The sequence below is a fragment of the Homo sapiens genome, chromosome 4 (genome assembly GCF_000001405.40).
Source record: "Homo sapiens chromosome 4, GRCh38.p14 Primary Assembly".
Classification (NCBI taxonomy): domain Eukaryota; kingdom Metazoa; phylum Chordata; class Mammalia; order Primates; family Hominidae; genus Homo; species Homo sapiens.
In genome coordinates, this window is record NC_000004.12 from 15,152,856 (window position 1) to 15,165,336 (window position 12,481).

Here is a 12,481-nt window from a genome sequence, read left to right on the forward strand (position 1 = left end):
TTTCTCTCTCTAATTCCAAAATGCAGTTGTAATAAAATGGGCATTGGCTTTCATTGTAGGGTTGGGTGCTTGTGGCCAGTTCTCCTATTGAGTTTGTTCTACCTTGACTTTTATTACTATTTTAATGATAAGACCTCAAAGAGAGGCTCAGGATCAGAGAATGAGCTCAACAAAAGAGGATTGATGTAACTGCTGACCTCACCTTGCACCTGAGGTAGGATGGACCAGACTCCCCAGTTCTTGTGTGCCGGGATTCCCCATTGAAATTTGTAACCCAAGTGCCTCAGTAATAAACCATGTAGACTGGTCCAGAGCATTGTCTCTGTCAACTTCCCTGTGTGACCAATGGCAACAGTAAACAGCTGGTTGCAATTTAGAGATCTGTCATCCTCATGATCACTCTATTTACTTTTCAAAAATAACTAACATCTTCAATTATCACCTCTGAAATGACTTCAATGTCTTTATCTTTATTCCCAGTTGAATTTGAATGATTCAATTCTTGCTTCCAATATTAATAAACAGAGATAGAAATAGAGATAGATAGGGAGCATGCACTTACTGAGCATCACCCACTGCTATGCACTTTAGATGCTTCATCTTAGTTCACCTTTAAAGCCATCAGATGATTAAATAACTTCTCTAAAGTCACACAGCTAGGGGTGGTGGAATTGATAGAACCCTGGAGTCTGCCTCGAGGGCCCATGGTCTTACCACCACACTTTATACACCTTCTAGGTCAACCTAATATCCCACCATCTACAAACTCAACCAGCCCAAACTCCAGCTGGGTCCTCCTAAGTGCTTTCCTTTATAAAATCCACTTTTCGTCATGCAGACTGGCCACCCAGGCTTCACATATTGCCTTCATCCTTATCTCTTCTTTCTCCTCTCCCCCACCATCCGCTGAGTCACTGAAGCTTGTTGTTTCTTCCCTTGTGGAGTTCTTCACCCTTCCCTTTCTTTCTCATTTCACTGCCACCCCTCAAGTTTAGTTCTTCCTGATGTCATGTCTGAACTAATGTAACTGCCTCCTGATTGATTTCCCTGATTCCACCCTGATATGGTTTAGATCTGTGTCCCCACTGAAATATCATGTCAAAATGTAATTAATCCCCAGTGTTGGAGGTGGGGCCTGGTGGGAGGTGATTGGATCTATGTTTTTGCAGTACATGTGGTATTTGGTCCTTCATAAATGGTTTAGCACTATTGCCTTGGTGCTATTCTGGGTGATACTGAGTGAGTGAGTTATTATGACATCTGGTTCTTTAAAAGTGTGTAGCACGTTCCCCTTCTCTCTCACTGCTGCTCTGGCCATGTAAGATGTACCTGCTTCCCCTTTGCCTTCTGCCATGATTGTAAGTTTCCTGGGGCCTCCCAGCCATGCTTCCTGTACAGCCTGTGGAAGCATGAGCCAATTAAACCTCTTTTCTTTTTAAATTACCCAGTCTCAAGTATTTCTTTGTAGCAATGCTAGAGAGGACTAATATACTCCCTTCATCCTAAACTTAGAACTTGATGAATCTCCCTGGAGCATCACTCTCTGCACATCAGCTTCTCCATGCTTAGAATCTCCAGGAGTGCCACATTTGATAAAGTCCATCGCTTTCCCCAGCCTTCTCTGGTAGAATTCTCATCACCTACCATACTTGTTAAGAAGCCATTGTTTCTTCAACTACCCACATGTATTCTGGTGTTTTGTTTTGTTTTGTTTTGGTTGTTTGTTTGTTTTTTACCTCAGTGTAACTTTGAACTTCCGGTTCAATAAGATATACATATACGCACATATAATATACATAGAGAGAGACAAATCCCAGAGCCATTATCTTGTATTTTATTTTATTTTTCCATAAGTTATTGGGGTACAGGTGGTATTTGGTTACATGAGTAAGTTCTTTAGCAGTGATTTGTGAGATTTTGGTGCAACCATAACCCCAGCAGTATACACTGCACCATATTTGTAGTCTTTTATCCCTTGCCCCACTCCCACTCTTCCCCCCAAGTCCCCAAAGTCCATTGTACCATTCTTATGTCTTTGCATCCTCATAGATTAGCTCCCACATAACAGTGAGAACATATGATGTTTGGTTTTCCATTACATCACTTATAATAATAGTCTTCAATCTCATCCAGGTCACTGTAAATGCTGTTAATTCATTCCTTTTTATAGCTGTGTAGTATTCCGTTATATATATATATGTATACCACAGTTTCTTTATCCACTCGTTGACTGATGGGCATTTGGATTGGTTCCATGATTTTGCAATTGTGAATTGTGCTGCTATAAACATGCGTGTGCAAGTATCTTTTTCGAAAAATGACTTCTTTTCCTCTGGGTAGATATGCAGTAGTGGGATTGCTGGATCAAATGGTAGTTCTACTTTTAGTTCTTTAAGGAATCTCCACACTGTTTTCCATAGTGGCTGTACTAGTTTGCATTCTCACCAGCAGTGGAGAAGTGTACCCTGTTGACTGCATCCACGCCAACATCGACTGTTTTTTTTTATTTTTTTGATTATGGCCACTCTTGCAGGAGTAAGGTGATATCACATTGTGGTTTTGATTTGCTTTCCCTGATCATTAGTGACTTTGAGCATTTTTTCATATGTTTGTTGGCCATTTGTATATCTTCTTTTGAGAATTGTCTATTCACATCCTTAGCCCACTTTTTGATAGGATTGTTTGTTTTTTTCTTACTGATCTGTTTGAGTTCATTGTAGATTCTGGATATTAGTCCTTTGTCAGATGTATAGATTGTGAAGATTTTCTCCCACTCTGTGGGTTGCCTGTTTACTCTGATGACTGTTGCTTTCGCTGTGCAAAAGCTCTTTAGTTTAATTAGGTCCCAGTAATTCATCTTTGTCTTTATAGCATTTGCTTTTGGGTTCTTGGTCATGAAATCCTTGCCTAAGCCAATGTCTAGAAGGGGTTTTTCAATGTTATCTACTAGGATTTCTATAGTTTCAGGTCTTAGGTTTAAGTCCTTAATCCATCTTGAGCTGATTTTTGTATAAGGTGAGAGATGAGGATCCAGTTTCATTCTCCTACATGTGGCTGGCCAATTATCCCAGCATCGTTTGTTGAAAAGGGTACCCTTTCCCCACTTTATGTTTTTGTTTGCTTTGTTGAAGATCAGTTGGCTGTAAGTATTTGGGTTTATCTCTAGGTTCTCCATTCCATCCCATTGGTCTATGTGCCTATTTTTGTACCAGTATCATGCCATTTTGGTGACTATGGCCTTATAGGATACTTTGAAATCAGGTAGTGTGATGTCTTCACATTTGTTCTTTTTGCTTAGTCTTGCTTTGGCTATGCAGGCTCTTTTTTGTCTCCATATACATTTTAGAATTGTTTTTTCTAATTCTGTGAAGAATGATGGTGGTATTCTGATGGGGATTGCATTGAATTTGTAGATTGCTTTTGGCAGTATGGTCATTTTCACAATATTGATTCTACCCATCCATGAGCATAGGATATGTTTCCATTTGTTTGTGTCATCTATGATTTCTTTCAGCAGTGTTTTGTAGTTTTCCTTGCAGAGGTCTTTCGACTTCTTTGTTAGATATATTCCTAGGAGTTGAGTTCTTGATTCGATTCTCTGCTTGGTTACTGTTGATGTACAGAAGAGCTACTGAGTTGTGTACGTTAATCTTGTATCCAGAAACTGCTGAATTCTTTTATCAGTTCTAGGAGCTTTCTAGAGGAGTCCGTTGGGTTTTCAAAGTAAACGATCACATAGTCAGCAAACAGTGACACTTTGACTTCCTCTTTACCAATTTGGATGCCCTTTATTTCTTTCTCTTGTCTGATTGCTCTGGCTAGGACTTCCAGTACTATGTTGAAGAGGAGTGATGGGAGTGGGCACCCTTGGTTCATCCTCTGTTCCAGTTCTCAGAGTGAATGCTTTCAATTTTTCCCCATTCAGCATTATGTTGGCTGTGGGTTTGTCATAGATGTCTTTTATTAGGTTAAGGTAGGTCCCTCGTATGCTGATTTTGCTGAGAGTTTTAATCATAAAGGGATGCTGGATTTTGTCGAATGCTTTTTCTGCATCTATTGAGATGATCATGTGATTTTTGTTTTTAATTCTGTTTATTCAGTGTATCACATTTATTGACTTGCATATGTTAACAATCCCTGCATCCGTGGTATGAAGCCAACTTGATCAAGGTGGACTATCTTTTTGATATGTTGTTGGATTCGGTTAGCTAGTATTTTGTTAAGGATTTTAGCATCTAAGTTCATCAAGAATATAGGTCTCTAGTTTTCTTTTTTGGTTATGTCCTTTCCTGGTTTTGGTATTAGGGTGATGGTGGCTTCATAGAATGAATTAGAGAGGGTTCCTTCTTTCTCTGTGTTTTGGAATAGTGTCGAAAGTATTGGTACCAAATCTTCTTTGAATGTCTGGTAGAATTCTGCTGTGAATCCGTCTGGTCCTGGACTTCTTTTGTTGGTAATTTTTTAATTACCATTTCAATCTCGCTGCTTGTTATTGGTCTGTTCAGGGTATCTAATTCTTCCTGATTTAAGCTAGGAGGGTTGTATTTTCCCAGGAATTTATCCATCTCTTCTAGGTTTTCTAGTTTATGTGCATAAAGGTGTTCATAGTAGCCTTGAATGATCTTTTGTATTGCAGCGGTGTCAGTTGCAGTATCACCTGTTTTGTTTCTTAGTGAGGTTATTTGGATTTTCTCTCTTCTTGGTTAATCTTGCTAATGGTCTATCAATTTTATTTATTTTTTTTCAAAGAACCAGCTTTTTGTTTCACTTATTTTTTGTATTTTTTCTTGTTTCGATTTCATTTAGTTTTGCTCTGATCTTGGTTATTTTCCTTCTTCTGCTGGGTTTGGGTTTGGTTTGTTCTTGTTTCTCTAGTTCCTTGAGGTGTGACCTTAGATTGTCTGTTTGTGCTCTTTCAGACTTTTTGATGTAGGTGTTTAGGGCTATGCACTTTCCTCTTATCACCACCTTTGCTCTATCCCAGAGGTTGTGATAGGTTGTATCATTATTGTCATTCAGTTCAAATAATTTTTTAATTTCCATCTTCATTTTGTTTTTGACCCAGCACTCATTCAGGAGCAGGTTATTTAATTTCCATGTATTTGCATGGTTTTCAAGGTTCCTTTCGGAGTTGATTTCCAGTTTTATTCCACTGTGGTCTGAGACAGTGTTTGATATCATTTCAATTTTCTTAAATTTATCGAGGCTCATTTTATGGCCTATCACATCGTCTGTCTTGGAGAAAGTTCCATGCCCTGTTGAATAGAATGTGTATTCTGTGGTTGTTGGATGGAATGTTCTGTATATATCTGTTAAGTCCATTTGTTCCAAGGTATAGTTTAAATCCATTGTTTCTTTGTTGACGTTCTGTCTTGATGACCTGTCTAGTGCTGTCAGTGGAGTATTGAAGTCCTCCACTATTATTGTGTTGCTGTCTATCTCATTTCTTAGGTCTGTTAGTAATCTGGGAACTACAGTGTTAGGTCATATATGTTTAGGACTATGATATTTTCCTATTGGACAAGGCCTTTTACCATTATACACTGTTTCTCTTTGTCTCTTTTCTCCACTATTGCTTTAAAGTTTGTTTTGTCTGACATGACAATAACTACCCCTGCTGACTTTTGGTGTCCATTTGCATTTAATGCCTTTTTCCACCCTTTAACTTTATGTGAGTCCTCATGTGTTAGGGAGTCTCTTGCTCTATTTTTGTGCTGATTGGCCTCCTGCTAGGAGGTGGCGCTTTCCAGAAAGCATCAGCTATAGTAGTGTGGAGAGGGACCAGTGGTGGGCGGGGCCCTAAAACTCCCAAGATTATATGTCCTTTGGCTTCCACTACCAGGGTGGATAGGGAAGGACCATCAGGTGGGGGTGGGGCTAGGCATGTCTGAGCTCAGACTCTCCTTGGGCAAGTCTTGCTGCAGTTGCTGTTGGGGATGGGAGTGAGATTCTCAGGTCACTGGAGTTGTGCACCTAAGAGGATTATGGCTGCCTCTGCTGAGTCATGCAGGTTGTCAGCAAACGGGAAAAGCCGGTAGTCACAGGCCTCACCAAGCTCCCATGCAAACTGAAGGGCCTCGCTCCACCGTGTCCCCCGCAACAGCCCCAAGTCTGTTTCCTGGTGGAGTGTGAAAGGGGCTTGAAAACTTGCCGGAGGCTATCTGCCTCCCAGCAGCTAGAGAAAAGGGCTTTATTCTCCCCCTCCCTGTGAAGTCTGCACACCTGATTCACGCCCTCCCCTGAGTTCTGGCCAGGAGGCTTCAAGCCCTGTTCAAATTGTTACAGAGTTCAGCTAGAGAATTCCTTCTCCCTGTGGAGTTTTACCCCCTGCTCCTCTGGCCACCCTCCTGATGGATCCCTGTGGTGTCAGGCAGGAATGGGCTGCTTGGGGGTCCAGTGAGCTCCCAGGGCCTTTCTGCTGCTTCCTCTACCCCTGTATTTTGCTTAGCTCTCTAACTTGACTCAGCTCCAGATAAACTTAGAAACTTCTCCCGCAAACAGACCTTCAGCTTCTCCAGTGGTGGGTGTGTTCAGGAGAGGGGGGTCTCCCTTTCCCACTTCCACAGTTGGGGAACTCACAGTATTTGGGGTGTCTCCTAGGTCCTGCAGGGGCAACTCACTTTCTTCAGAGAGTCTGTGGGTCCTCTTGGGATTGCTAGTTTGTTCTTGCAGTGGATCTGCAGCTAAAATTCACAGTGTAAGCCTCCGCATGCTGCTCTGTCCAGAGCTGGAATCTAGTCCTGCCTCCCGTCCACCATCTCTCCATGGTATCTTCCCACATGTATGCTGTTTTGCACACCTTTGCTCAGAGTTCCCTCTCTAGTGAATGTTTAACCCTCTCTCCCCTGCTGAGGTTCTAACTTCCCATCAAGGGCTCCCTTATGTACAAAACCCTTCATGAAGCATCCCCTATGGGCCCCAGTGTTTCCAGATTATTACCACTTTCTGATCCTATACTGCCATCTGGACCACACATTTGATTCTAAGCCGGGGATGCCCTACTCATCTTTTTATGAAGAAATCTAGTCTCAGCTACTAGCTTATACATTCAGTGGATCTTAGGATCAACTATGCCCAGACATCTCTAATGTTCTAGACAAGTCTGAATTCTAAATATTTTGCTTGTTGGCAAGAGCATAAACCCTGATTTTAGCTTCAGAACATAAAGTAGATGAAGACTAATAGAACTTTTCTCCAGTGCCTAGTTCAAGGGTATGTAATAAAGACTTTTCGGGCCGGGCACTGTGGCTCATGCCTATAATACCAGCACTTTGGGGGGCCGAGGCCGGTGGATCACGAGGTCAGGAGATCGAGACCATCCTGGTCAACATGGTGAAACCCCATCTCTACTAAAAATACAGAAATTAGCTAGGTGTGGTGGCGGGTGCCTGTAGTCCCAGCTACTCAGGAGGCTGAGGCAGGAGAATCGCTTGAACCCAGGAGGCGGAGTTTGCAGTGAGCCGAGATCCTGCCACTGCACTTCAGCCTGGGCAACAGAGCAAGACTCTGTCTCAAAAAAAAAAAAAAAAAAAAAAAAAAAGAAAGGCTTTTCAAGTCTGACTAGGTCTTTCTGTAGCTACATGGCCATACCTGAGACTCATTTCATCTGTCAGCTTGTTTTTTTAACATGGTGGATCAGGGTTAGATGAGTGGTTGTCTGAGTCTAAACCTGGGAATTCTAATGTGCTAGAGACGTGATCTTCAGGAGTGTTCTGGGGACAGGGAAAGGAAGGAGGAGGGCCAGGCAGGTAGGATCCCTCATCTTCCAGCTCTTCCTACCTTCTTCAGAAACACTTTTCATGGATCTAATTCACAAGTTTATGTTTCTGCCGACAGTTTCATTTCTACGGAACATTCTCCATGGCTTTAAAAGATTTCAAAGTTGCTGGAATGGATGATTTCTAAAGTCTATTGCAGTTTTTCTATTTTTTTTTTATCTGTTGCTGAGGATGGAGGAGAATGAGGGCTAACATGTACTGAGTCCTCACTGTGTGCCAAACACTGTGCAGAGTGCAGCCACTCTGATAATCCCCATTTTATATATAAGGACAAGGGCTTACAGTAAAGACATAAGATCAGTTAGTGATTAATAAGGTTGAGATGTGAGTTGAAGTTGATGGGGCTTAACTACTATACTGCCTGCCATTTTTAGTTGTCTATGGAGAAAGGTTAGGAGCTGGAACATAGTCCCCTTTGCCTGCTTTGTGAGGAGAAGATGGTGCAAATGACAAAGCAGGACATTTGCACTTGCAGAAGTGTTTGATGAAGGTGGGTCAGCCACATGGTCAACCTTAATCTCATCTATAGAAATGAATAGCTTGAATAGCTGTAGTATCCATGACTGGTGAATGCTCTTATCTTTGACAGTATTGCTTGAAATCTGGAAGAAAACTGGACTAGCAGGGATTTAACTAGACCTGATCTTCCAAGAGGTTCACATTTTTGACAATATTGCTGACCTCTTCAGCAAGACACAACATGGCTCAGAACTCAGGGTGTTGAATTCAGCCCAAAAGCACCTTCTCTAAGGTAGCCTACAAGTCCAGATACACAAGGCAGGTGTCTCAAGCTAGTGAATATCTTATATATAACTACAAAAATCTTAAGACTTCACTGACACAAAGACACAACACAGTCTCTTAAATTAAAGAAAAAAAAAATGAGTCAAGGGAACTGCCAATTTCAATTCAGAGAGAGCAGGGTATTGCCTGAGAGTGGTTCCAAGACAAGCAAGATTTAGCCACAGCCAGACCATTTGCCTGTGAACCTTAATCAGGAACTGAATCATACCATAAAATCTGTAAATTCCTTGTATCTGGTGCCACCAAGATGTCTGAGAGGGGCTGGTCCAACCACCCAATCAACCCATCAGAAGATTTTTCCCCTCTGCTGACAGGGGTTCTCTGTGTATAGCTTGACTGGGAACCAGGCTAGGATTCAGCATAAGCTGCTCTGTAAAGCTGATTTTTTCCGGGAGCCACAGTATAATTTCACTAAGAAGTTGCAAGCGTGGTTTTGAAATTCTTCATATTGTCACAGAAATTATAACTGCACTTAAGTCCAGTGAATTGTGTGTGTGGCAGGGGGTGGGGGAAGGAGGGTTTGTTGTTTGGTTTTGTTTTTAAACTGGGACAGAGGAATTGAGTTAAGGGGGGAAATTAGGCCTTTACTAAAGGGAAAACACACATACATACAATAGAGCATTTCAGAGGATGCATACAGTAAATTATACTGCTCAAAAAAGAGAAATAGCATTTCTCTCCTGTCTTTTTTCATTTCCCACCTCCTCCTGCTTATTCTTCAAGAGTCATCTTTCTTCCCCAACACACTCACAAAAGGCCTCCTTTATTACCTTTTGTTATGTTACCTCCTGATGTGGGAGTGGTGTGATAATGGGGTCTCCCAAGCTGAGTCCTTGAGGATAGATAATCACTCTTTGTTAGCGGGCATTCCACCTTTCTTCTGAGGCTTTCAAAGGCTTAAAATAAGGCTCCACCAAATAGGTATGGCAGATGTTATTAAACTTCTATTTTTCTGGGTAAAAAACTGAAGTAAGTGGCAACTAGTGAAAGAGCCATGGCTTCTATTTTACTCATTTTGAAAGCCAAGCTTGAGGAGTTGTCATTATGTATATTTAAAAATAAAAAGAGGAGAAAAGAGTTCTCAAATAGTCTCCAAAGAATACACAGTGATGAAAGAAAGAAAGAGACAGAAAGAGAGAAAGAAGGAAAAGATGACAGAAGGAAGGAGAAGGAAGGAAGGAAGGAAGGAGAAAGGGAAAGGGAAGGAAAGGAAAAGAAAGGAAAGGAAAGGGAGAAAGAAAGAAGAAAGAAAGGAAAGAAGGAAAGAAAGAGAGAGAAAGAAAGAAAGAGAGAAGAAAGAGAAAGAAAGAAAGAAAGAAAAAGAAAGAAAGAAAGCTGCAAAAATAAAGCTGAAGTGAAATCATTTGCTGTGGTATAAACTCACCGACCCAGGTTTTCTCCCACAATATCTGGAGTTTGCAAAAGAATATTAAAAAAAAATAGATGGGGCCCCATCTTCTGGCAGTCTGAAGCAATAGCGGTAGCAATCTGATCTTTCAGATACAGTCTGTTTTGTTTGGTTTTATATTTTAAGGTGCTCTTCAAGGTTTGTACTTCCTTAAGGTGATTGCCATCTGAAGACAACTATTTCCTTATCAGCATTTCTATTCCCAAAGGCAGAAACCAGTTGGGTGAGGGTCAAAAAAGCTTTGGGATCTAACACCAAGCCCATCACAGGTCTGGCTGTGGACAGGTCAGGCATTGGTGTGGGAGTCTGTGCATGGGCAGTTGCCTTCTGTACAGAGAAGTAGACAATACCCTTTGGATTTGCTGACTGAAACAGACTCCATGGGCCTGAATGTTCTATAAAGGTATTTTGCCAGCTGATGCTGGTGACAACCTCCACCCTACAACTCCAGAATAACTGGACAGTTCCTCGAGTTCGGCAAGAATGATGGATGATGTGCACAAGCCACATCTTATCTGCTTCTCAGCAATGATTAATTGTTCCCCAAGACAAAAGCTCAAAGAGTCAAGATTCACTCAGGGCTCAATTTTGACCATGAATTCTGTGGTTGTTTGTGTGGGTTGTTAAGGATTAGAGGACAGACTGGGGTGAGAGGAAGGCATGGTAATGCATTGTTTCCTCAGATAAAGCTAAAAGAGATAATCAGCTGGCTGAGTCTAAGGTTTGGATAAGCTCATCTGCTTAGTTATCTTCCTCCGAGGGATCAGTGTCCACCGAGGTTGCCTGACTGTAGACCCTGTAGTGTGATGAACCCAGAATTTCCAAAGCCTTCCCAGCTGGGGTAGATTTGGACTAGGGGCTATGCAAAAAAGCATGTTCCCTCTCCCACAATTGCGAATGAGGCTTCCCAACATCCCATGGAAATGGTGACATGTGTAGAGGTCAGATCATAGTGATATCATAAAACTTGAAACAGGATGGTAGAACAGGTTATTAACTACCTATATAGACCATAAAACATAGGGCATGGGCTTGTTTGTTCTCAAGCCAGGTAAACATCTCCAATTTCATGTCAAAGTATAAATTAAAAACAAGAGCACCTATCTATGACATCTGCTGAAACAACGACCACCATCCCTCTAGACCGTGCTGGGCCAGCTCTCTCCTGTCTCCTCCATCTTGATCAGCTTTGTAATGAGGAACACAGTAGTACATTAGCCTCAACATAATCATATGACAACAATAATACAGCAATAACTAATCTAAACTGTGCTCTTACTATATGCTACGTGCAATAGGGAACACTTGGCATGAATTGCCTCCTTGAATTTTTAAAACAGAACAGTGAGAGGTATTTTTATTATTCCCTTTTTATGGATGAGAAAAGGGAAGATTCGTGAGGGCAAGGACACACCAAAGACATTCTAGCTTTTTTTCACTTATTCATTAATTCACAGTTCATCACAGTTTTTCTTGAGCTCTAATTACGTCAGGCCATATTTGAGACAGTAGGACACAGCAGTGAACAGAACAGGTAGGTTCTTGCCTTCATGGAGTCTGCATCAGCAGATGATAAACAAATATGTCATGCTATGGACTAAATTATCTTCCCCCAAAATTCTTATGTGGAAGCTATAACCCTCAGAGTGACTGTATTTGGATAAGGCCTTTAGGAGGCAATTAAGGTAAATGAAATCACAAGGGTGGAACCCTCATTTGATAGAACTAAGGTCTTTATGAGAAGAGGAACTCAGAACATGCACTCAGAGGAAATGTTATGTGAGGACTGCTGCGAGAAGGTGGCCATGTACAAGTCAGAAAGACAGCTCTCACCAGGAGTCAAACTCTACTGGATCTTGATCTGGAATTTCCAACCTCCAGAACTGTGAGAAATAAATGTCTGTTGTTTAAATCACTGTTTGTGGTATTTTGTTATGACAGTCCAAGCTGACTAATGCATGTCATATGTCAAGTGATGATAAGTGCTGTGCAGTTTGCTATTTTGTATTTCAATGCTAGGGATTACTGTTTTATATACGGGCTAGGTATCTCCTCTCTGATAAGGAGTTTTAAGGGAAGAAAGACAAAGAACGTGGTGAAGCAATTCCATGGGTACCTGGAGAAGGACTGATCCAGGAAGAGAGCATGGACATGGAGGGTGTTCGGAATTTCTGAGGACCAGCAAGAGGGACAGATTGACTAGAACAGAATAAATGAAGGAGAAATATTAGGAGATGGGAATGGGCAGGGATTCAAACCCAGGCATCCTACTACAGAGCCTTGTTCTTAAATAATTCACACAGCATAGATGCCTGACTTTGATTATTTCCATTTCCTTGGTAAGTTTTTGTCCATCCCTTCATTTATAGTTCTTTTGATTCATTCATTTAAAGAGTGTCTCTCATATATGGTATTGAGTTGGGTTTTGCTTTATAAACCAATTTGAAATGCTGCATACTTAAAAAATAGATATGCTAAATCCCTTCATGTT

The 12,481-nt window shown here is 41.3% G+C and overlaps 1 long non-coding RNA gene across 1 annotated transcript in view, besides 2 other annotated features; it reads right to left on the reverse strand.

The window, feature by feature from the left end:
- The window catches only part of C1QTNF7-AS1 (C1QTNF7 antisense RNA 1), a 422,973-nt gene that overhangs the window by 147,914 nt on the left and 262,578 nt on the right, over window positions 1-12,481 (reverse strand). The window lies entirely within an intron of this gene.
- Window positions 5,311-6,030: an enhancer, noted in NCBI's record as "NANOG-H3K27ac-H3K4me1 hESC enhancer chr4:15159790-15160509 (GRCh37/hg19 assembly coordinates)". NCBI's record gives its function as "activates a minimal SCP1, AML or CMV promoter by ChIP-STARR-seq in naive H9 embryonic stem cells {active_cell/tissue: H9 hESC(naive)}" and the evidence as "EXISTENCE:reporter gene assay evidence [ECO:0000049][PMID:30033119]".
- Window positions 6,031-6,749: an enhancer, noted in NCBI's record as "NANOG-H3K27ac-H3K4me1 hESC enhancer chr4:15160510-15161228 (GRCh37/hg19 assembly coordinates)". NCBI's record gives its function as "activates a minimal SCP1, AML or CMV promoter by ChIP-STARR-seq in primed H9 embryonic stem cells {active_cell/tissue: H9 hESC(primed)}" and the evidence as "EXISTENCE:reporter gene assay evidence [ECO:0000049][PMID:30033119]".